Raw genomic sequence first — 26,184 nt, 5'->3', positions numbered from 1 at the left:
CTAGTCCTCCTTTTCAATCTAGCTAAATTAATCAGTGTAGGAGGCAGCAAGACTTACACAGGTGAATAGAAAAGTCATCTTTAACACGAACAATAGGAATGTAGGAGGAACTAGCAAGAATGGATTAGTAACGAAGAATGGGCTAAAGAATGTGAAGTCAAGGGCAATTAGAAAAGAAGTGTTAGTTTCACAGAAAATTAAGTAGTTTGAAGAAGGGGGAAGACAGCTGAAGCTTATTGGTGCTTTTATGTGTCAGGCACTGTGCTGGGCACTTTTGCATTCATTTCCTCATTTAATGCCTAGATGAAGCCTATGAAATATCCCCACAGCCTGTGGATTCTCCCTCCCATCCCCAGGCCACAGCATAGCGATGCTTCTCAGGGGAAAAGAGGAGGATACCAGAAAATGAAGTGGTGGAAAATTTGAAAAGAAATATAGGGTGGTAACTGAGGATCTTGAACTGAGAGAAATTTGCTGGTATCAGTCTTTAGGGAAACAGGAGGCAAGAGAATGGGCATTCTGGCTGCCAATCATCATGGGTCAGGGAGTGGGTGGGCCCTGGGATGGGGGAGGGTAGGACTTCCCCTAGACCGGACTGGAGTGTGTGTGGAGGCCAAACTGAAGTTCTGATGCTGGGATGATCTCCTTGGCCTGTGAGGCACCATTGGACCCAACACTCTGACCCACTCACCTCTTTGTATAAGCTCTCCAAAATTTAGGGGAGGACTAGTTCTAGGCAGAACACATGGCATAATGGACTGAATTCTTTCTAACATAGACTCCCTGGATTATAAATGTTGCACAGAACTATGTGTGTGTGTGTCATGTGTTGAGAGAGTTGAGTACCCAAAGAGCTTCACTATGGAGGTAGAGGTTTGGTGCAGCAACCACAACAAAGCAAGACACTTAAGAAGAGGAGATTGTGTATTCCCTACTCCCTTTGCTGTCTTCATTAAGCATTTGGAGAAAATAGTACCTATACCATTTGGCCATGGGGATGCATGTCCCAGCTGGACATGGCCTTGGTGTTATGCATCTTCAGAAATAAAATAGTGTGTCCCTATCAGTCACCAAAGTCCCAGAGCCCAAGCTGCCTAAGGCAACAATTGAGTCAAGCAGAGCTTTTTGTGTTCTGATCTTTTGATAGTTGCTACAAGAACTGCTTCCTTAGACTGAATAGACACCCTGCAAGTTCTTGGGATCACCCTGGGTGGGAAGACAGACCTGCTCCTGATAGGGAGTGTCTTAGTCAGTTTGGGCTGCTACAATAAAATATCATAGACTGGGTATCTCATAAACAGTAGAAACTTATTTCTCACAGTTCTGGAGGCTGGGAAGCCCAAGATCAAGCAGAGTCAGTGTCTGTTGAGGGCCCATTTCCTGGTTCAAAGATGGTATTTTCTCCCTGTGTTCTCACAGCTGTGTCCTCATGTCAAGGTGAAAGACAGCTCTCTGGAACTTCTTTTATAAGGGCACTAAACTCATGAACTCTCATAATCTAATCAGCCCAAAGATCCCACCTCCTAATTCCATCACATTGGTCATTAGGTTTCAACATGCAAGTTTTTGGAGAAGACAAATATTCAGACCATAGCAGGTAGATGGGAGATTGAAGTTGTTTCATCTGAATATTAAGAAAAATATATATCTTAAGCTAGCAAAGTTGGATGTGTCAGCTGTCCAAATAACAAGGCCCTTTGCCTTGGATGCAAATCAGGAACTGTCTCATGAGTAATTCTTTTCTTGTTGCGGGGCGGGGTGGTGGTGGGCACAGAGGGTAAATGATAAATATATTCTGGGTGCCAGTGTTGAAGGGTGTACATTTGTGGTTGAGATCTGTCAGATAGCCTTTTTATATCCCGGTAGCACCCAGCACATAATTCAGTAAGCAGTTCAACTTGGAATTATTTTAAAGATTTTTAGCAGTTTTACCGGGAAGGACAAGGAGTATGATCTCTGTAAATATTTGATATGTGGACGAATGGGTGAATAGGTAGAGGGATGGATGGACATGTGAGTGGATGGAAGGATGGGTGTGTGGGTGAATGGAAGGATGGAGGGATGGATTTATAGAAGGATGGATGGATAGGTGGGTGGGTGGATGAAGGGATGGATGGGTGTGTGTGTGGGTGGATGAAAGGATGGATGGGTGGGTGTGTGGGTGGATGAAAGGAGGGATGGGTGGATGTGTAGGTGGATGGAAGGATAGATGGATGGGTGTGTGGATGAATGGAAGGATGGAGGGATGGATTTGTGGGTATATGGAAGGATGGATGGATGGGTGTGTGGGTGGATGGAAGGATGGATGGATAAATGGGTGAGTGGATGAAGGGATGGATGGGTGAGTGTGTGGGTGGATGGAAGGATGGATGGATGGAAGACAGTGTCATTAAAATTTCTGAGACTGAGTATAAGTAGCAGAACCAGACACAACCAGATTATAGTGTGTGTTTGATTGCCAGCTATCTGTGTATACTGTCCTATGTTGACAGCACTTCTACCTTGTGGGTTTCTCCTTGTGGGTTATTACTTACCGGGATTGTGAAACTTGAAAATATTGGCATAGTGCCCATCAGCTGGAGGTGAGGGAGTGCAGACCACAGGCCCATGCTTTGCCTGACCAGGGCTAAATTCATCTCTTCCAGTCACTTCCCCAGCCACTGTTGCCTTGTTGCTCTGAGCTGCAGTTTCCTCATCTACCAGAAGAGGATGAGAACCACTATCTCACAGAGTGGGTGTAAGAATCGAAAAAGACAGTAGTAATAATTATGGTTAATATTTAAAGAAAGAGAACTCTTACTGTGTACCAGGAATTACTTTATGCTCTCTGTATATCCCAACCCACAACAATACAATGAGGAAGCTAGTGTTACAGCCCTCATTGTGCAGAGGAGAAACTGAGGCATGGAGAGGTTAAGAGACTTGACTAAGGCCTCCAGCCAATAGCCCAGATTTGGGCTTCAAACCCAGAGAGGCTGTTTCCAGGGTGTGTGCATTTAGCCTTTTAGCTATGCATCCCTAGACTGTGTAGAGTGCTTGGCAAGTGGTATGCCCCTGGCATGTGGTGGGCCTTCAGTAAAGGGGTAGTTCCTTTTTTCTTGGTTCATTAGTTGCCCTGATCTGGCAATGGTGGCCTGTCCCCTGTGGCCAGAGCTGACAGCAGCCTGGAGAGATGGCTGGTGAATTCACTCTTGACCAGTCACGCAAAGCCCTTCAATAAGGACTTTTCTTTGATGCTTTAATCCTATTTCTTAAAAAGTGAAAGACATGGATTTCAAGACCCATAAGAATAAAATGAGTGTTCTTTACCTCAGCCCAGGACTTGTTAAAGAACAGGAAGCAAATCTACTCCCAAATGTGTTTTAAGACAGTTCTTTAAACTCCTTTGCAATTTTGGTGCATAGATACTTTAGAATACAATAATAAGAAAAGGGTTTTTTTGAAAGAATGCCAAGGGCTACATTCTCTACTGTTCTTCTTCTTGTTTGTTCTGTGCAAAAGGGTGAGATAATGAGGTGGTGGTCAACTTTAGATTCTTTTCTACTGTAATTTAGGTTGATGCATTAACATGAGCAGATTACTCAGCCATTTGGAGTCAGAAATAGAAGGTACGTATCAATCCAGGCAGGTGCAAAACTCCTACAGTGAAATGAACAGTGTTTCCCTGTGATTAGAACAATTGTCTCAGGAGGTTGAATAGAAACATTGCTTCTACTCCTTGCTGTGTGATCCCAGCTCAGTCATTTCCCCTCTCTAAGCCTCAGCCCATGCACCTGAAAAAAAAATGTCAATTGTTTTATAGAGAGTGGCTGTGATGATTAAACAACCTAACATTATATTACTGTAAATCTGAAGTGCTGGATAAATGTGAAAGATAGTACTCATTTTTGGAAGGCATGGGGTCCCAGTTACACAGACTGGATTCGAGTCTCAGCTCAGGTACTTCCTTGCTGAGACTTGGTTTTCTCTTCTTCAAAATTGGGATAGTAATACTGACATAACAGGATCTTTTCTTCTTTTTGGATTCAATGAGATGAATACATTAATGTGCATGCTCACTAAATTTTAGCAATTATAGTCTGATGATGACCTCTGGCTTAGAAGCAATGCCACAAAGGTTAGGACACAGATAGAAATAAAGAAATGGCTTACGCCATTGACTGATTGCAATTAAGTGTTCTTTTCATTTCATCTTGTGTGCATTTGGATGTGTTTACATTTTTGTGTGTGTGTGTGTGTGTGTGCTTTGGCATGGTTAAGGACAGATTTCCATAGTGAGAACTGGGATGAGTCACAGAATCAATTTAGTCTTTACAATAGTTGAAAGCACAATGGAGCACATTCTCCTTCTGGAGGCCACACCCAACCCATGGCTGACTCTGGCCTAATTCTCTGCAATCCAATTATCATAGGCACTTGCTGGGCAGTTCAGCAGGTCACCTAGAAAAGAGTGATATTCATTGTTGGTGGCAGGGGTATGGTTTTTGGTGTGATGGGGCACTTCCCTAATGTAGGATGTGCTGTCCACACCTGCAGCTCCCACTGGGCTGAATGTGTGCTTGTGGCGGAATGTGGAAGTACTTTACACTCCTTTTCTTTCTTCCATTCAAGGGGAAGTCATTTGAATATTCTTCACGGGCCATGTGCACATCGCATCACACCTGGAGTATTGCACACCTTCCTCATTGGCTGGCTAAACCCTAGTCTCATTCCATTCATTTATCTTTCACATTACAGTCACATCCACAGTTTACACAACGCACCTGATCATGTCACCCCCCTGCCAAAAAGCTTTCCCTGGGTCCCCATCACCCTCAGGATAGAGTCCTGGCTGCTTTGCGTATTACGGGACTTTTCCTGAATTGGCCTCCACTTGTCTCTTCAGGCATGTTCCTGCATTCCCTGCTGTGCTATAATGATTTGTGTACAAATTTGCTTATCCCATTAGCTCACGAGCAACTCATGAGGAAAAACTAATTGATTCCTCTCTGTGCATAGATGGTGTTCAATAAATATTTTTTAGACACAGTTTAGCCAAGTGTTTAAGAATTCAACTTTGGAGTCAGTTTGACTCTTGGATTCACCAGTTTATTGATCTATAACTTAGGTCGGGGAGCTAAGATGGCTAAGTCTTAGTTTCTCCCTGTGTAGGAAGAGGCAGTGGTGCTTATCTCATAGGAATGTTGTAAGAATTAGATGAAAGAATGCAGCAAAGGGCTTGGTAAAGAGACTGGTATGTATTAAGAACTTAACAGATGTTAGCTTTTATTGATAAGCGTTTGTTGGTCCCATACAATAGCATAGTCTATGAAAAAACAGAATCATAAAAGGGACACTGAGTAATGGTTTTTTGATTCTGGAAACCACCTGGGACACAGGATTAAAGATGGTCTTTTGCTGAGAATGTGTTAATGATGGTGATGGGAATTGTTGGGAAACTTTGCTGTCTGATAATATGATAGAGTACATTTAGCTGCAAGTAAGAGACAACCAAACTCAAATGGGCATAACCATTTTGAAGAAGGTTAATTGGCTTATTTACCACAGAGTGAAGAGGTTGGATGGGCTCCAGTGTTGCTTTGATTCAGATGTGCAACAATATCATCAAGGATCCAGGGTCTTTTTCTCTCTGTGTTTCCTCTCTGTCATGGTAGCCTCATCTCAAGACCATAACCCTTTCCTGTTGCAGTTTTAAGAGGGCTCTCAAAATCTTCTGGGACTTGATGACCGTGTCAAGGGAGAGGGACAAGGTTGCTCTTAGAAATTCCCTCAGAAGAGTAAAACCTTGCTTTTCTAAAACCACCAGCTAACATCTTTTACAATCTCATTGGCCCTGAATTAATCAAATACCCATCAATGAACAAATGGATCGTGGTCAGGGAATGAGGTTGTGCTAATTGGCTTGGCTTGAGCCATTGGCCCAGAACCAAGACATGTGTTCTGTAGAGGTGGGGATAGAAAACCTAAGTATGGAGAGGAGGGACAGGATGCAAGGAATTAACCTATTTTCTGAGCTTCTGTAAGAATCAGCAGCTCTCACTGTTCCTGTGCAGATTTAGCAGAATGGAAGACATATCTCTGTACTTTTAGTACCTTTTCATCTAGGTGTTTTAAAAACTGCATTCTCATATCTTTTATTCTCTAGTCACCACCAACAATGCAATGAAAGAATTATAATAATTATGTTTTCAGGCCAGGTCCAGTGGCTGACGTCTGTAATCCCAGCACCTTGGGAGGGTGAGATGGGCGGATCACCTGAGGTCAGAAGTTTGAGACCAGCCTGGCCAACATGGTGAAACCCCATCTCTACTAAAAACAAAAACAAAAAAACCAAAAAAACCAAACAAAAAAAAAAACCAAAAAAAAAAAAAAAACCAAACTAGCTGGTTGTGGTGGCGCATGCCTGTAATCACAGCTACTCAGGAGGCTAAGGCAGGAGACTCACTTTAACCTGGGAGGCAGAGGTTGTAGTGAGCCGAGATCATGCCACTGCACTCCAGCCTGGGTGACAGAGTGAGACTGTCTCAAAAAAAAAAAAAAAAAAAATAGGTTTTCATTTCATGTTTTGGTGTGCCTACTATTTGCACTGCTAGATGCTGTCCATATTTTAGCTTTCATTCTCTGAAGATGTTCTTTTTAATAACTCTGAGATAAGTGTTACTAGATCCTTTTTATAGATTGAAGAAACAAACTGGAGCTCAGAGAGGTCAGTGTAAATTTTTCAAATTCACACAGAAATTAGTGGCAGACCCAGGATCTGATTCAGGTCCGTCTGATTCTAAAGCCCACATTTGTTCCAAGACTCCATGCTACTTTCTTATTCTAGAAGCAAGGCAGACTTCCATTTGAAAATGGATGTGCAAACTTCATAATCTCTTCGTTTCTTCCTGGAAATCATCCAAAGCAATAAGGAGAACAGAAAACAAAAATTCAAACTCCTTTTTCAGTGAAGCTAGGAGACAGACTGAAAAATATTTGGTAAGAGCTGCCAAGAGCACCCAGGAGCTGTGCAAGAGGGAGAAGCCAACAGCAGAGGAGAGAGCTCAGTAACGCATTGGACCAAAAAAATTACAAAAACTTCTTGAAGCTGGGGGAACCACTCTGAAGGGAAAAAACTGTATCATTTAATTAAAAAAGAGAGTGAAGAAATAGAATACATTAAGATGTGGAAGAAGTCCCCCTGAGCTTGGTTAGGTGCAGAGAAGTGAGGAGGCTGGATGTATCAGTCAGCTTTTGCTATATAACAAACACGCCCAAACAATAGACATTTGTTCTTGCTCATGTGTCTTCAAGGTGGCTGGGGTTAATGTATGTAGGCTGTTCTAAGCTAGGTTTGACCCAAGTTTGACGGTTGAGTGCTGGTCTTTTCCACATGTATCTCAACCTCCTTAAATCAATGGCTACCTGAGGCATGTTCTTCTCATGATGAAAAGCAAGAGTCAAGAGGATAAACTCAACTGCATGAGTCAATGTCATGCTTTTGATCGTGGCATACTCACTAATGGCTCCTTAGCCAAGTGTCATGCCTTTGGTCATGGGATACTCACTAATAGCTCATTAGCCAAAGCAAGTTGCATGACCAAGTCCAAGTCAAGGGGTAGACAAGTACAATCCATCCACCAGAAGGCAGTAGCAAAGATGTAGATATATGGCGTTACTACAGGGAGAAAAGAAGGGAGAATGGGAATTTAATCTTCCACACCAGGTTACATGCAGAAGCATGTTAGACAATCCTTGTTTAAGAGAAGCAGCCTAACTTTGTAGCAAGTGAGGAGAAGAGAACCTCTGAGTTGTGAAAGCTGACTTGATTATAATTCCACCCTGGCCTCTCTCCGTCTATAGCAAATACATGGCTCATGAAATCCTAACGCGTTTAACAATAAGTGATAAAAAATACACTAGTGCTGCATTTTTAAGAAGATACTATGAAAAAAAGGAGGAAGGGAACAGCAAAATTTATGAATAAAAATGTTCAGTAGTAAAATGGCTTTGGAACAGATCAGAATTGTGAACAAACACTACTATGAATTAAACATCACAATGAAGCAATAATCTCTAAAAATAACCATTATGTAATACCTCAGAGATGAGCTTGCAGGGCAGCAGAAGATGAAACGTGATCTGGCAAAACTCAGAGAAGAAGGGGAAGAAAAAACAGAATAGAACCATGATGAAAATGAAGACAATACTTGAAAGAGCATAAGTGTTAATAAACACTACAAAAATATAAGAAATGACATAGAAAATAGAAATGAGAAGCGCAAACAAAGTAAAATGTAAATAGAGTTAAAGAGGAATAGATAGTGATAGATTTAATGCACAGGAAAAGGACATTAAATATATGCATAACTGGCATTCCCAAAGAAGAAAACAAAACCCAAAACAGAACAAATATTAAAGGTATAAATCAAGAAAGCATTCCTAAAATAAAATAACACTTGAATCTACACATTGCCAAGGACACATTTTGTACCTGAGAAAGGTGACTGTGAATGGTCAATGCTGAGACATTTCCTAGAAAAATTAGTGAACTGTGAATATAAAGATTCCTAGTATTAGATCTTATATAGGACTTTATTTCCTTTGTCCCCAGCTGGCTTCAGATTTTTCCAGAACAACATTCAATTCTAAACGACAGTAGAACAACACTTAATATTTAAGGAAAGAGAGTATGAATCAATGATTTTATACCCAGTGAAAAAGTTCTTTAAATAGAAAGGTTAAAAAAATACAATTTTAAAAACACAAGAGCTCAGAGAATGTGTTCCCATGAGCCTTCCTTGAGGAAAATAAAAATGACAAACTTCAACCAACCAAACATTTTTTGAGAAACTATATACAAGGACTGGCAGTGAGCATTATACATATTTGATGGAAGAACTAAGAGATATTAATGAGGGTATTCAATTGGCAGGAGAGAAGGTGAATGTTATATATTGTAAAACATTACAGAAATGATAGACCTTACCCAAACTGGGGGAAGAAAAGGTAAAAACAAAAAATAGATGGGGAATAAATTATATTGAAGATTTCATGTAATGGCTGAGAGTAAAAACATAACGTTTAAACTTCCAGCCCCTGGAAGCTGGAAAAAAAGGCAGTCGCAATACAAATCATATAGCCAGGTTTTGCTATATAACAACCAACCTCAAGAAGTTAGTGGTGTACCAGAACATCACAACATCATTGTTGTTGATGTGTCCTTTGTCTGACCGAGGTTTGGGCTGATTAGAAATGATATTGTCAGATAGCCCTGCCTGAGGCTGTGGGCCATCTGGGCTTGGCTCCAGGCCATGGACTGGGTTTAGATATCCACCTGTATTAGCTCTGGATCCAGGTGAAAGGGCAGCAGATACCCAGAGGAAATCTTCTCATAGCACACCACAAGAGCATAAGCAACCAAGCCAACCAGTAAAGCACATTTCATGCCTCTGCTCATGCTGCATCTGCAAAAAATTCACTGGCCGAAGCAAGTCACATGTCTAGGCCCAACATCAATGGGGTAGAAATAATATATTGCTCTGGAGTGAGGAATTTTAGACAATAATCCAATTTACCATGGCATATTTAAAGTACAAATATAAATATTTTTAAAAATTCACTAAAATTTGCTAATAAAGAACTAATAAATAAGTAAAAACATAGAGGACTAAGAAAATAGAGGAATGCTCCCTGGTAGCTGTGAATTTGTTATGTTACATGGTGAGGGTTGCAGATGGAATTTAGGTTGTTAATCAGCCAATCTTAAATAGGAGGTTACCCTGGATTATCTGTGGGCCTGATGCCATCACAAGGGTTTCTTAAAGAGGCAGAGGGAAGATTTAACTCTAGAACAGAAGGTCAGAGTGACGCAATCTGAGGAGGATTCAGCCCACCATTGCTGGCTTTGAAGATGGAGAAAGGGACTGTAAGTCAAGAAATGTAGACAGCCTCTGAAAGCTGGAAAAAAATAAGGAAACAAATTCTCCCCTAGAAGCTCCAGAAGGAACACAGCCAGGTCAGCACTTTGGTTTTAGCCTAGTGAGACATATTTCAGACTTCTGACCTCCAGAACTGTAAGATAATACATTCCTGTTGTTTTAAGCCATTGAGTCTGTGTTAATTTGTTACAGCCCAATAGGAAAGTAATACACTTACCTATGAATGAAAGAATAAATTCAGGATGGATCACCAACGAAAACTAGTATTATGGTATTTGTAAGACACATGTATGAAATTGAGGGATTCAGTAAGCTGAGAAACAAAAAATGGACAAAGAGTATAGTTCTCAATGAAGAACTAAATAAAAGTATCAGCGTTAATTAAAGTGAAAACTACAAGAATTACCTAAAGAAAAAAACAGATACATAACAGATATATAGTAAGATTAAGAACTTTAATTCAACTTTCTTAGTCAATTACAAACCAAGTAGATCTAAACAGTATAATCAATTAGTAATGTAGATGTAGTTAGCACAAAGGAAACTTTTTACCTTGAAAATAAAGAACAGAGTTCCTTTTAAAACATGTACCTATGGAAGAAGTGCAAAATTTGACCACATATTAGTCCACAAAGAAAGTCCCAATACATTTCCAGAGGTAGATATGGTACAGGAAAATTTCCTAATTTTAATGCAGTAGAAGTAGGAATTAAAGATAAAATCAGAAAAAACCCTCATCTCTTCAAAGTAAACAAACAAACAAAACTCTTTTAAGTCAGGGCAAAGAAAAAATTTCAACCAAAATTAGATTATATGAAGGAAATGATAAATGAATTCTACTATAAGTACCTATAGATGGTGTTCAGGGGAAAATTCATGGTTTAAAAGACTTATATTAATAAGTGAGAAGGGGTAAACACAAACTAAGCTACCACCCTAAGAAGTTACAATAGAAATTTAAAAAAAGAAAACAAATGGAGCAAAAATAAGATCACAAAATGGGATGGGGGTGGATATTACCATAGATTCCATACAGATTAAAAGGCAACAAGAGAATACTAGGAACAATTGTATGTACATACATTTGGCAATTTATATAAAATAAATTTGTTGAAAGACACAAACTACCAAAAGTCACCAAAGAAAAAAGTAGATAACCTGAATTGTCCTAAATCTATTTTCAAAATTGAATTTGTAGTGAAAATCCTTCCAAGAAAGAAATTTTCAGGTCCAGACAATCTCACTGGCGAGTCCTACAAAGCATTTACAAAAGAAATAATGCCAATTTTACGTAACTTCTTCCAGAAAAGAGAAGAGGAAGGAAACTTCCCAACTCATTTTGTGAGTTTTAAATCATCCTGATTCCAAAACCAGACAAAGATAATATGGGAAAAGAAAACTATGGGCCAATATCATTCATGAACATTGTGGTAAAAGTTCTCAAGAAAACATAAAAAAAAGAACTCAGCAGCATATGAAATGAATAATATACCATGAGTAAGTGGGGTTTATTGCTGTGATGAAAGACTAGTTCAGTAGTTGAACCCGATCAATGTAATTCACCATATCAATTGAGTAAGGAAAAAAAACTCTATATGATTATTTTGATTGATGCAGAAAAAACATTTGAAAAAAATACATCATCGTTTGTGATAAAAACTCTTAGTGAGGTAGAAACAGAAGGGAACTTCCTTATCCTGATAAGGGGCAGATAACATCATACTTAATGACTGAATGCTTTCCTCTAAGATTAGGGATAAGGCAAGAATGTCCATTCTCCTTCTCTCTTTTAATAGTGGATTAAAGCAGGATAGAGAAATACAGGCATATAGGTTAGAAAGGAAGAAATAAAACCTGCTAGAACTATGTAAGTGAACTTATCAAGTTTACAGATTCAAAGTCAGCACATGAACATGAAAATCAATTATATTTTTATATACTAGCAATGAGCAATGATAATGCAAAATGCAGAAAGACAGAAATAAATGGAGAGACATGCCCTGCTCATGGATTGGAACCTTCAATAGAGTTAATACATTTCTCTGTATATTGATCTATGAATTTAATGCTGGTCCAATCAAAATTGCAACAGGATTTTTTATAGATATAGACATACTTATTATAAAATGTATATGGCAAGAAGAAGAATCTAGAATAGCCAGAAACATTTTGACAAAGAAGAATGAAGTTGCATTTTAAGATTAACTATAAAACTATAATAATCAAACAGTATGGTATTGGTGAGGGCATACTCACATAGATCAATGAAACAGAGTAGAGGGTTCAGAAACAGTGTTTGGAATAGAGAGCTTAAAAAACAATCAATATGGCCAATTAATTTTTGATAAAAATGCAAAAGGAATTCAATGGAGGATAGTTTTTCAGCAAATGGCATCAGAACCATTGGATATTCATTTGCAGAAATATGAAGCTTGATCTAAACCTCATGTCTTATTCACAAATTATCTCAAAATAAATTATAAATATAAATGTAAAATATAAAAACTCTAACAACTTTAAAAGAAAACATAGGAGAAGATCTATATGACTTTAGGTTAAGCAAATAAGTTTTAGACATGACACAAAAAGCATAATCTATGAAACAAAATGATAAATTGATCTTAATCAAAATTTAAAACTTTTTTTTATACTTTAAGTTCTAGGGTACATGTGCACAACATGCAGGTTTGTTACATATGTATACATGTGCCATGTTGGTTTGCTGCACCCATTAACTCGTCATTTACATTAGGTATTTCTCCTAATGTTATCCCTCCCCAACCCCCCAACCCCATGACAGGCCCCTGTGTGTGATGTTCCCTGCCCTGTGTCCAAGTGTTCTCATTGTTCAGTTCCCACCTATGAGTGAGAACATGTGGTGTTTGGTTTTCTGTCCTTGAGATAGTTTGCTCAGAATGATGGTTTCCAGCTTCATCCATGCCCCTGTAAAGGACATGAACTCATCCTTTTTTATGGCTCATAGTATTCCATGGTGTATAAGTGCCACATTTTCTTAATCTAGTCTATCACTGATGGACATTTGGGTTGGTTCCAAGTCTTTGCTATTGTGAATAGTGCTGCAATAAACATACATGTGCATGTGTCTTTATGGTAGCATGACTTATAATCCTTAGGGTATATACCCAGTAATGGGATGGCTGGGTCAAATGGTATTTCTAGTTCTAGATCCTTGAGGAAATGCCACACTGTCTTCCACAATGGTTGAACTGGTTTACACTCCCACCAACAGTGTAAAAGCATTCCTATTTCTCCACATCCTCTCCAGCACCTGTTGTTTCCTGACTTTTTAATGATAGGCATTCTAACTGGTGTGAGATGGTATCTCATTGTGGTTTTGTTTTGCATTTCTCTGATGACCAGGGATGATGAGCATTTTTTCATGTGTCTGTTGGCTGCATAAATGTCTTCTTTTGAGAAGTGTCTGTTCATATCCTTTGCCCATTCTTTGATGGGGTTAATTTAAAACTTTTCTAAGTGAAATAAACTGTTACGAGAATGAGAAGAAAAGCCACAGACTGGCGGAAAACATTTTCAAGACACTTATTTGACAAACAACTTATATCCAGAATATAGAAAGGATATTCTGAACTCAATAGAAGGAAACAGGAAACAAATAACCCAATAAAAGCATGGACAAAACATTTGAACAGACACTTGTTTAACAAGCATATACACATGGCAGTAAGCACATGAAAAGATGTTCAACATCATTAGCCATCAAGAAAATATAAATTAAAACTGTGATGAGATACACCAACATACCCACTGGAATGACTAAAATTAAAAGCAGAAAAAATCTGGTGATAGCAAACACCAGCAAGTGTGTGGAGTAACTGGGAGTCTCCTACATTCCTGGTGGGAGTGTAAAATGGTACAGCCACTGAAAAATAGTTTGACAGTTTCTTATAAAGTAAAACATACACTATCAATTAAAACCAAGCAATTCACTCCGAGGGTATTTACCCTAGATATAAATACTGTGCTCACACAAAACTCTTTACACAGATGTTTATAGCAGCTCTACTCATAATCACCTCAAGCTGGAAACGACCCAAATGATCTTTAACAGGTGAATGGATAAACAAACTGGTACAGCTATCCAACAGAATATTATTCAGCCATTAAAAGGAACAGACTATTGATACAGGCAACAATATAGGCAAATCTCAAATGCATTAGACTGAGTGAAAGAAGCCAGTCTCAAAATGTTACATACTTTATGTTTTCATTTATATGGCATTCTGAAGAAGCAAAACTGTAGGGACAGAGAACAGATCAGTGGTTGTCCGGGGTTAGGAATTGGGAAATGGAGTGATTACAAAAGGCCAGCTTAAGGAAATTTGGGGAGTAATGGAAGTTTTGAAATAGTTACCATTCCATCCATTAGAAAAAATGCTATGTTTCTAGGGGAATTTTACCGAACTATTAAGGAACAGACATTCTTTACAGTGGACAACCTGGCAGACAACACAATCAAATGATCAAAGATAACATCACTTGTAATGAGACAAACATACATGTGCCTCCTGATATAACTCACTGAGAAGGACAGAAAATCATTTCTGTGGTATTTCTGACCAAAAATGTGTGGCCCGAATCTAGTCATGACAAACTACAATTGAGGGATGTTACATAAAACAAATAGCCTATACCCTTCAAAAATATCAGGGTTAAGAAAGAAAAAGACTGATAAATTGCTCCAGATTGAATGAGACTAGAGGAACATGACAACTAAATGCCTGTGTGATGCTGTATTGGATTCTGAACCAGAAAAAATATTTTTCTGGAAAAGATATTATTGGGAAAACTAATAAAATTTGAATAAGGCCTATGGATTAGATGATAGTATTGTATCTGTTAATTTCCTGATTTTGATAATTGTATTGTGGTTATATAAGCCTATGTCCTTGTTTTTAGGAAATATACACTAAAGAATTCAGGGTTAAAAAATATATCTACAACTTAATCTCAAGCACTTCAGAAAAACATGTATGTACCTCCAGGGAATCTAGGTATATAGCAACTTTTGTAGTTTTAAAATAATTTTTTTTCTGAAAATCTGTAATTCTTCAAAACAAAATGTTAAGTAATAAACAACTGATAATTCTAATTTTGTTTAAATTTATCTGGAGCAAAAGAAAAGGAACATATTTTTCCAATTTCTTTTACATAATGAGATTAACTTTAATAAAACCTGATAAAGATAGAGATGAACAAAAAACTACAGACCACTGTCACTTATGAATGTCAATAGAAAATTCTAAAAATCACGCCTGTAATCCCAGCACTTTGGGAGGTCAAGACGGGTGGATTACTTGAGGTCAGGAGTTCACGACCAGCTTGTCCAACATGGTGAAACCCTTTCTCTACTAAAAATACAAAAATAAGCATTTTTTTTGTGGCATTGTGGCCTGTGCCTGTAATCCCAGCTACCTGGGAGGCTGAAGCAGGAAAATTGCTTGAACCCAGGAGGCAGAGGTGCAGTGAGCCAAGATCATGCCACTGCACTCCAGCTGGGTGACAGAGTGAGTCTCCATCTCAAAAAAAAAAAAAAAAAAAGTGCAGCACAGCAAAAGAAACCATCAACGGAGTAAACAGACTATATATAGAATGGGAGAAAATTTCTGCAAACTATGCATTGACAAAGGTCTAATATAGGGCATCTATAATAAACTTAAAAAAAAACCCATAAAAAAGTGGGCAAAGGATATGAACAGACACTTTTCAAAAGAAGACATATGTGCAGCCAACAATCATATAAAAAAAAATAGCTCCCGAGGTGGGCAGATCCCTCGAGGACAGGAGTTTGAGACCAGTCTGGCCCATATAGCGAAACACCGTCTCTACTAAAAATTCAAAAAATTAGCTGGGTGTGGTGATGTGCACTTGTAATCCCAGCTACTTGGGGGGGCTGAGGCATGAGAATCCCTTGAACCCAGGAGTTGCAGGTTGCAGTGAGCCAAGATCATGCCACTGCACTCTAGCCTGGGTGACACAGTGAGATTCTGTCAAAAAAAACAAAAAAAGAAAAAAAAGCTCAACATCACTGATTATGAGAGAAATGCAAGTCAAAACAACAATGAGATACCATCTCACACCAATCAGAATGGCTGTTATTAAAAAGTAAAAAAAAAAAAAATAACAGATGCTGGCAAGGTTGTGGAGAAAAAAGAACGCTTATGTACTGTTGGTGGGAGTGTAAATTTGTTCAACCATTGTGGGAGACAATGCGGTGATTTCTCAAAGACCTAAAGACAGAAATACCATTTGACTCAGCAATTCCAAATCGTTCTATTAAAATGCACATGTATGTTCATTGCAAATGCACATGTATATTCATTGCAACACTACTCACAATAGCAAAGACATGGAATCAACCTAAATGCCCATCAGTGACAGGCTGGATAAAGAAAATGTGGCACACACATACCATGGGATACTATGCAGCCATAAAAAGAATGAGATAATGTCCTTTCCAGGGACATGGATGGAGCTGGAGGCCATTATCCTTAGCAAACTAACACAGAAACAGAAAACCAAATACCATATGTTCTCACTTGTAAGTGGGAGCTAAATGATGAGAACACATGGACACATAGAGGGGAACAACACACACTGGGGCCTATCGGAGGGTGGACGGTGGGAGGAGGGAGAGGATCAGGAAAAATAATTAATGGGTACTAGGCTTAATATCTAGATGATGAAATAATATGTACAACATCCCTGCCATGAAACAAGTTTACCTGTGTAAGAAACCTGAACATGTATGTTTGAACTTAAAATAAAAGTTAAAGAATTAAAGTTACACATTTCCTTCTGAGCACAGTTTTAGCTGTGACCCACCAGCATGTAATAGTTTCATTACCATTGAGTCCAAGATAATTTCTAATGTCTATTTTTGAATTATTCCTTGACCAATAGGTTTTTTGGAAGCATGTTGCTTAATGTCCAAATATTCTGGTTAAAAAATTGTGTTGTTATTGATAGCTAGCTTAATTTCATTGTTGTTAGAGAACATACTCAGAATAATTTTAGTCGTTTAGAATTTGTGGAGATTTGCTTTATGGCCCAGTATATGGCTAGTCTTGGTAAATAATCAATGTGTACTTAAAAAGCATGAATTTTCCATGGTTGGGTATAGTGTTCTATATATGTAAACTGCATCAAATTTGTTAGTTGTGTTGTTTAGACAGTCTATATCTTCAGGACGGTTAATTTTATGTGCCAACTTGACTGGGCTAAGGGATGCCCAGATAGCTGGCAAAACGCTATTTCTGATGTGCCTGTGATAGTGTTCCTGGAGGAGATTAGCATTTGACTCCATAGACACAGTAAAGAAGATCACCCTCACTAATGCGGGTGGACATCATCCAATGTGCTGAGGGCCAAAATAGAACAAAAAGGGGAGGGAGAGTGAGTTTTCTCTCCCTGTCAGAACTGGGACATCCATCTCCTCCTGCCTTTGAATGTCAGCATTCCTGGTTCTCAGACCTGGTTCTCCGGACTTGGACCTGACAGATCTTGAGCCTTATAATTGCATGAGCCAATCTCCCATAATAAATCTCTTTTCATATGTCTCTATATATATTATGTGGTTCTGTTTCCCCGAAGAACTCTAATACAATCTTTATGCCTTTTTTTGTGCATTTTTTGTTCTGTTACTGAGAGAGAAGTATCTAAGTTTCCTTCCTTATTCAAAGTAGTACCTATAAAAATGTATCTTTTTAAAAAAAATTTTTGAGATGGAGTCTCACTCTATCACCCAGACCAGAGTGCAGTGGTGCGATCTTGGCTCACTGCAACCTCTGCTTCCCGGGTTCAAGTGATTCTCCTGCCTCAACCTCCTGAGTAGCTGGGACTACAGGTGTGCACTACCATGCCCAGCTAATTTTTTTTGTATTTTTAGTAGAGACAGAGTTTTACAATGTTGGCCAAGCTGGTCTTGAACTCCTGAGCTCAGGTAATCTGCCCACCTCGGCCTCCCAAACTGCTGGGATTATAGGCATGAGCCAGCACCCCAGCCCTACAAATGTATCTTAAACATTTCATTTTATTTAATACCATGTCAATATACATGTAGTTGCTAATCTTTGGACATGGGGCCAATGTCTTTCCTTTGAGTATGGGTCCTTTCAAGATGGTTTCAGCCCAGGCATTCTCATGAGTCCACTTGACCCAAGAACACACTCATTCTTGTCCAGCCAAGCAGGGAGAGTGTGGGCTTCACTTGGGCCCCTCTCCATACCACCAGCTCTCTCCAGTTCACCTCTCTCATGCATAGGTAGCCACCTTCAGGACAGGCAACCAGTAGGTTCTTCCTATGCTGCCATCCTCTCCAGCTCAGATGTCTTAGTTCATTTGTGTTGTTATAAAGTAATACCTAAGAGGCTGGGTAATTTATAAAGAAAAGAGGTTTATTTGACTCACAGTTCTGCAGGCTGTACAAGAAGCATGGCTCCTGCATCTGCTTCTGGTGAGGGCTTCAGGAAGCTTTCACTCACGTTGGAAGGTGAAGGAGAGCCAAGGTGTGCAATGATCACATGGTGAGAGAGGAAACAAAAGAGAATGGGAAGGTGTCAGGTCTCTTAAACAATCAGCTCTTGGGGGGAACTAACAGAGTGAGAATTGAGAATTCACTCATAACCATGAGGATGAGACCAAGACATTCATGAGGGCTCCATCCCTATGAGCCAAACATCTTCCACAAGGCCCCATCTCCAAAACTGGGGATAAAATTCCAGCATAAGATTTGGAGGGACATGCATCCAAACCATAGCACCAGAAATGCAAGTTTATTAATCTAAGCTACTTGGCTGGTTCTAAACTTCTGGTTGCATCAGGATCACCTGGAGGGCCCATTAAGCCATAGACTGCAGGGCCCCGCCCTCAGAGTTTCTGATTTTATTGGCTGAGATGAAGCTCAATAATTTGCATTTCTAATAATTCCCAAGTGGTGCTGATGTTACTGATGCAGGGGCCACATTTTGGGAGTCGCTGGTTTAGCCAATCATCTTAATTTCATTCTTTTTTTTTTTATTATACTTTAAGTTTTAGGGTACATGTGCACATTGTGCAGGTTAGTTACATATGTATACATGTGCCATGCTGGTGCGCTGCACCCACTAACTCATCATCTAGCCTTAGGTATATCTCCCAATGCTATCCCTCTCCCCTCCCCCAACCCCACAACAGTCCCCAGAGTGTGATATTCCCCTTCCTGTGTCCATGTGATCTCATTGTTCAATTCCCACCTATGAGTGAGAATATGTGGTGTTTGGTTTTTTGTTCTTGCGATAGTTTACTGAGAATGATGATTTCCAGTTTCATCCATGTCTCTACAAAGGACATGAACTCATCATTTTTTATGGCTGCATAGTATTCCGTGGTGTATATGTGCCACATTTTCTTAATCCAGTCTATCATTGTTGGATATTTGGGTTGGTTCCAAGTCTTTGCTATTGTGAATAATGCCGCAATAAACATACGTGTGCATGTGTCTTTATAGCAGCATGATTTATAGTCCTTTGGGTATATACCCAGTAATGGGATGGCTGGGTCAAATGGTATTTCCAGTTCTAGATCCCTGAGGAATAGCCACACTGACTTCCACAATGGTTGAACTAGTTTACAGTCCCACCAACAGTGTAAAAGTGTTCCTATTTCTCCACATCCTCTCCAGCACCTGTTGTTTCCTGACTTTTTAATGATTGCCATTCTAACTGGTGTGAGATGGTATCATTGTGGTTTTGATTTGCATTTCTCTGATGGCCAGTGATGATGAGCATTTTTTCATGTGTTTTTTTGGCTGCATAAATGTCTTCTTTTGAGAAGTGTCTGTTCATGTCCTTTGCCCACTTTTTGATGGGGTTATTTGTTTTTTTCTTGTAAATTTGTTTGAGTTCATTGTAGATTCTGGATATTAGCCCTTTGTCAGATGAGTAGGTTGTGAAAATTTTCTCCCATTTTGTAGGTTGCCTGTTCACTCTGATGGTAGTTTCTTTTGCTGTGCAGAAGCTCTTTAGTTTAATTAGATCTCATTTGTCAATTTTGTCTTTTGTTGCCATTGCTTTTGGTGTTTTAGACACGAAGTCCTTGCCCATGCCTATGTCCTGAATGGTAATGCCTAGGTTTTCTTCTAGGGTTTTTATGGTTTTAGGTCTAATGTTTAAGTCTTTAATCCATCTTGAATTGATTTTTGTATAAGGTGTAAGGAAGGGATCCAGTTTCAGCTTTCTACCTATGGCTAGCCAGTTTTCCCAGCACCATTTATTAAATAGGGAATCCTTTCCCCATTGCTTGTTTTTCTCAGGTTTGTCAAAGATCAGATAGTTGTAGATATGTGGCATTATTTCTGAGGGCTCTGTTCTGTTCCATTGATCTATATCTCTGTTTTGGTACCAGTACCATGCTGTTTTGGTTACTGTAGCCTTGTAGTATAGTTTGAAGTCAGGTAGTGTGATGCCTCCAGCTTTGTTCTTTTGGCTTAGGATTGACTTGGCGATACGGGCTCTTTTTTGGTTCCATATGAATTTTAAAGTAGTTTTTTCCAATTCTGTGAAGAAAGGCATTGGTAGCTTGATGGGGATGGCATTGAATCTGTAAATTACCTTGGGCAGTATGGCCATTTTCATGATATTGATTCTTCCTACCCATGAGCATGGAATGTTCTTCCATTTGTTTGTATCCTCTTTTATTTCCTTGAGCAGTGGTTTGTAGTTCTCCTTGAAGAGGTCCTTCACATCCCTTGTAAGTTGGATTCCTAGGTATTTTATTCTCTTTGAAGCAATTGTGAATGGGAGTTCACTCATGATTTGGCTCTCTGTTTGTCTGTTGTTGGTGTATAAGAATGCTTGTGATTTTTGTACATTGATTTTGTATCCTGAGACTTTGCTGAAGTTGCTTATCAGCTTAAGGAGATTTTGGGCTGAGACAATGGGGTTTTCTAGATATACAATCATGTCGTCTGCAAACAGGGACAATTTGACTTCCTCTTTTCCTAATTGAATACCCTTTATTTCCTTCTCCTGCCTAATTGCCCTGGCCAGAACTTCCAACACTATGTTGAATAGGAGTGGTGAGAGAGGGCATCCCTGTCTTGTGCCAGTTTTCAAAGGGAATGCTTCCAGTTTTTGCCCATTCAGTATGATATTGGCTGTGGGTTTGTCATAGATAGCTCTTATTATTTTGAAATATGTCCCATCAATACCTAATTTATTGAGAGTTTTTAGCATGAAGCGTTGTTGAATTTTGTCAAAGGCTTTTTCTGCATCTATTGAGATAATCATGTGGTTTTTGTCTTTGGCTCCGTTTATATGCTGAATTACATTTATTGATTTGTGCATATTGAATCAGCCTTGCATCCCAGGGATGAAGCCCACTTGATCATGGTGGATAAGCTTTTTGATGTGCTGCTGGATTTGGTTTGCCAGTATTTTATTGAGGATTTTTGCATCAATGTTCATCAAGGATATTGGTCTAAAATTCTCTTTTTTTTGTTGTGTCTCTGCCTGGCTTTGGTATCAGAATGATGCTGGCCTCATAAAATGAGTTAGGGAGGATTCCCTCTTTTTCTGTTGATTGGAATAGTTTCAGAAGGAATGGTACCAGTTCCTCCTTGTACTTCTGGTAGAATTCGGCTGTGAATCCATCTGGTCCTGGACTCTTTTTGGTTGGTAAGCTATTGATTATTGCCACAATTTCAGATCCTGTTATTGGTCTATTCAGAGATTCAACTTCTTCCTGGTTTAGTCTTGGGAGAGTGTATGTGTCGAGGAATTTATCCATTTCTTCTAGATTTTCTAGTTTATTTGCATAGAGGTGTTTGTAGTATTCTCTGATGGTAGTTTGTATTTCTGTGGGATTGGTGGTGATATCCCCTTTATCATTTTTTATTGCATCTATTTGATTCTTCTCTCTTTTTTTCTTTATTAGTCTTGCTAGCGGTCTATCAATTTTGTTGATCCTTTCAAAAAACCAGCTCCTGGATTCATTAATTTTTTGAAGGGTTTTTTGTGTCTCTATTTCCTTCAGTTCTGGTCTGATTTTAGTTATTTCTTGCCTTCTGCTAGCTTTTGAATGTGTTTGCTCTTGCTTTTCTAGTTCTTTTAATTGTGATGTTAGGGTGTCAATTTTGGATCTTTCCTGCTTTCTCTTGTGGGCATTTAGTGCTATAAATTTCCCTCTACACACTGCCTTGAATGCGTCCCAGAGATTCTGGTATGTTGTGTCTTTGTTCTCGTTGGTTTCAAAGAACATCTTTATTTCTGCCTTCATTTCATTATGTACCCAGTAGTCATTCAGGAGCAAGTTGTTCAGTTTCCATGTAGTTGAGTGGTTTTGCGTGAGATTCTTAATCCTGAGTTCTAGTTTGATTGCACTATGGTCTGAGAGATAGTTTGTTATAATTTCTGTTCTTTTACATTTGCTGAGGAGTGCTTTACTTCCAACTATGTGGTCAATTTTGGAATAGGTGTGGTGTGGTGCTGAAAAAAATGTACACTCTGTTGATTTGGGGTGGAGAGTTCTGTAGATGTCTATTAGGTCTGCTTGGTGCAGAACTGAGTTCAATTCCTGGGTATCCTTGTTGACTTTCTGTCTCGTTGATCTGTCTAATGTTGACAGTGGGGTGTTAAAGTCTCCCATTATTAATGTGTGGGAGTCTAAGTCTCTTTGTAGGTCACTTAGGACTTGCTTTATGAATCTTGGTGCTCCTGTATTGGGTGCATATATATTTAGGATAGTTAGCTCTTCTTGTTAAATTGATCCCTTTACCATTATGTAATGGCCTTCTTTGTCTCTTTTGACCTTTGTTGGTTTAAAGTCTGTTTTATCAGAGACTAGGATTGCAACCCCTGCCTTTTTTTGTTTTCCATTTGCTTGGTAGATCTTCCTCCATCCTTTTATTTTGAGCCTATGTGTGTCTCTGCACGTGAGATGGGTTTCCTGAATACAGCACACTGATGGGTCTTGACTCTTTATCCAATTTGCCAGTCTGTGTCTTTTAATTGGAGCATTTAGTCCATTTACATTTAAAGTTAATATTGTTATGTGTGAGTTTGATCCTGTCATTATGATGTTAGCTGGTTATTTTGCTCATTAGTTGATGCAGTTTCTTCCTAGTCTCGATGGCCTTTACATTTTGGCATGATTTTGCAGTGGCTGGTACCGGTTGTTCCTTTCCATATTTAGCACTTCCTTCAGGAGCTCTTTTAGAGCAGGCCTGGTGGTGACAAAATCTCTCAGCATTTGCTTGTCTGTAAAGTATTTTATTTCTCTTTCGCTTATGAAGCTTAGTTTGGCTGGATATGAAATTCTGGGTTGAAAATTCTTTTCTTTAAGAATGTTAAATATTGGCCCCCACTCTCTTCTGGCTTGTAGGGTTTCTGCCAAGAGATCCGCTGTTAGTCTGATGGGCTTCCCTTTGAGGGTAATCCAACCTTTCTCTCTGGCTGCCCTTAACATTTTTTCCTTCATTTCAACTTTGGTGAATCTGACAATTATGTGTCTTGGAGTTGCTCTTCTCGAGGAGTATCTTTGTGGCGTTCTCTGTATTTCCTGAATCTGAACGTTGGCCTGCCTTGCTAGATTGGGGAAGTTCTCCTGGATAATATCCTTCAGCGTGTTTTCCAACTTGGTTCCATTCTCCTCATCACTTTCAGGTACACCAATCAGACGTAGATTTGGTCTTTTCACATAGTCCCATATTTCTTGGAGGCTTTGCTCATTTCTTTTTATTCTTTTTTCTCTAAACTTCCCTTCTCACTTCATTTCATTCATTTCATCTTCCATTGCTGATACTCTTTCTTCCAGTTGATCGCATCAGCTCCTGAGGCTTCTGCATTCTTCACGTAGTTCTCGAGCCTTGGTTTTCAGCTCCATCAGCTCCTTTAAGCACTTCTCTGTATTGGTTATTCTAGTTATACATTCTTCTAAATTTTTTTCAAAGTTTTCAACTTCTTTCCCTTTGGTTTGAATGTCCTCCTGTAGCTCAGAGTAATTTGATCGTCTGAAGCCTTCTTCTCTCAGCTCGTCAAAGTCATTCTCCATCCAGCTTTGTTCCGTTGCTGGTGAGGAACTGCGTTCCTTTGGAGGAGGAGAGGCGCTCTGCTTTTTAGAGTTTCCAGTTTTTCTGTTCTGTATTTTCCCCATCTTTGTGGTTTTATCTACTTTTGGTCTTTGATGATGGTGATGTACAGACGGGTTTTTGGTGTGGATGTCCTTTCTGTTTGTTAGCTTTCCTTCTAACAGACAGGACCCTCAGCTGCAGGTCTGTTGGAATACCCTGCCGTGTGAGGTGTCAGTGTGCCCCTGCTGGGGGGTGCCTCCCAGTTAGGCTGCCCGGGGCTCAGGGGTCAGGGACCCACTTGAGGAGGCAGTCTGCCCGTTCTCAGATCTCCAGCTGTGTGCTGGGAGAACCACTGCTCTCTTCAAAGCTGTCAGACAGGGACATTTAAGTCTGCAGAGGTTACTGCTGTCTTTTTGTTTGTCTGTGCCCTGCCCCCAGAGGTGGAGCCTACAGAGGCAGGCAGGCCTCCTTGAGCTGTGGTGGGCTCCACCCAGTTCGAGCTTCCCGGCTGCTTTGTTTACCTAATCAAGTCTGGGCAATGGCGGGCTCCCCTCCCCCAGCCTCGCTGCCGCCTTGCAGTTTGATCTCAGACTGCTGTGCTAGCAATCAGCGAGACTCCGTGGGCGTAGGACCCTCCCAGCCAGGTGCTGGATATAATCTTGTGGTGTGACGTTTTTTAAGCCCGTCGGAAAAGCGCAGTATTCGGGTGGGAGTGACCCGATTTTCCAGGTGCTGTCCCTCACCCCTTTCTTTGACTCGGAAAGGGAACTCCCTGACCCCTTGCGCTTCCCGAGTGAGGCAATGCCTCGCCCTGCTTCGGCTCGCGCACGGTGCGCGCACCCACTGACCTGCACCCACTGTCTGGCACTCCCTAGTGAGATGAACCCGGTACCTCAGATGGAAATGCAGAAATCACCCGTCTTTGCGTCTCTCACGCTGGGAGCTGTAGACCAGAGCTGTTCCTATTCAGCCATCTTGGCTCCTCCCCCTTAATTTCATTCTTTTGGCCTCTGGTTGCTGTGGCCAAGGACCTGTGATAGACCACTTATTGCTGAGCAGTGTGCTGGGGGCTGAGGGGTTGGGGTGGGATTCTGGGGAAGTTTTCCTCACTCTTAAAAAGTTTTATAGAATAGTGATTCACTACTTTTTTTTAGAATAGTGATTCACCACTTTTCCACCTCTGGATGTGGCTGTAAATGTGGCAGCCAGTGGGAACCATGGGGGGAGACACGGCCCATGTGCTGAGGATGGTCGGGGTGGGGGAAGACGGAAGGCACCGGAGCCTTAGAGGATAAGGATGTTCAGCTGGTGAATGAACCAATCCTGAGACGCTTCACCTCTGGGCCTTGCATTCTTGAGCGAATACCTCCTGGTTGTTTAACTTTTTGACGGGTCTTCCATGGCTTGCACTCTCACGGGAGCGGATACAAAAACCAAACCCCGGCCATCTTCCTGGGCCTCCATGGACTGTGAGACTTGGGTGGGATTTTCTCCTTCTCCCTGTAGTGTTGTCCGGGATGCACGATGTCTCCCAAGTTTCTCTGTTCCTAGACTCACCTGCCTGGGGTCCACCTGCTGCTCCTTTGTGTATTCACCTTCCTTTGCTCCCCTCACCCATGCAAATCTCAGCCCTCTCACTTTTTTTTCCCACCAGAAATATATGCCAGTGGAACACTTGGGTGTGTGTGTTGAATTTCTTGAAGATTTGCAGGTTGACAGGAAGTCTCAGTGTGTCCCGTGTGGGCTCCCGTCCCGCTGGCTCTGCCCCAGCCTCTCTTTTCCATCCCTCTCCAGGAACACGCACACCAAGGGTCTCACCTTCTACCCAAAGCACTTCTTAAGGTATTTTCCCCATACAATGATCTTCCCCTTCCTAAGAGGAGTTGGGGTGATAAAGGGTGTGAATGTCCCTTTATCACCTGTGACTGTGGGTCTCAGACCATGTGAACATTTGGGGCAAAGTCATCCCAGAAGCCTTGAGACATGCAAAATCCCCCAAAGAAGAGGAAGGTTGGTGTTGCATGCTGTGTTCTAAGATGGTCTTTCTCTGGAGGTTTAGGGGTTTCCCCAAAAGCCCAGTGATTCCACCTGTCATGACTGAGGAAGAGGCAGTGCTCAGACAAAAGGCTTGAAATAGGTGGAGAGGGAACCACCTCTCCCAGAGCTAGACTATGCATT

At 40.2% G+C, this 26,184-nt stretch overlaps 1 annotated feature.

The window, feature by feature from the left end:
- Nucleotides 24,739-25,311: an enhancer, noted in NCBI's record as "H3K27ac-H3K4me1 hESC enhancer chr5:174824457-174825029 (GRCh37/hg19 assembly coordinates)". NCBI's record gives its function as "activates a minimal SCP1, AML or CMV promoter by ChIP-STARR-seq in naive H9 embryonic stem cells {active_cell/tissue: H9 hESC(naive)}" and the evidence as "EXISTENCE:reporter gene assay evidence [ECO:0000049][PMID:30033119]".

Source organism: Homo sapiens, chromosome 5, assembly GCF_000001405.40.
Source record: "Homo sapiens chromosome 5, GRCh38.p14 Primary Assembly".
Classification (NCBI taxonomy): Eukaryota; Metazoa; Chordata; class Mammalia; order Primates; family Hominidae; genus Homo; species Homo sapiens.
Note: the sequence above shows the minus strand (reverse complement) of the source record. Positions and strands in the feature narration are given on the sequence as shown.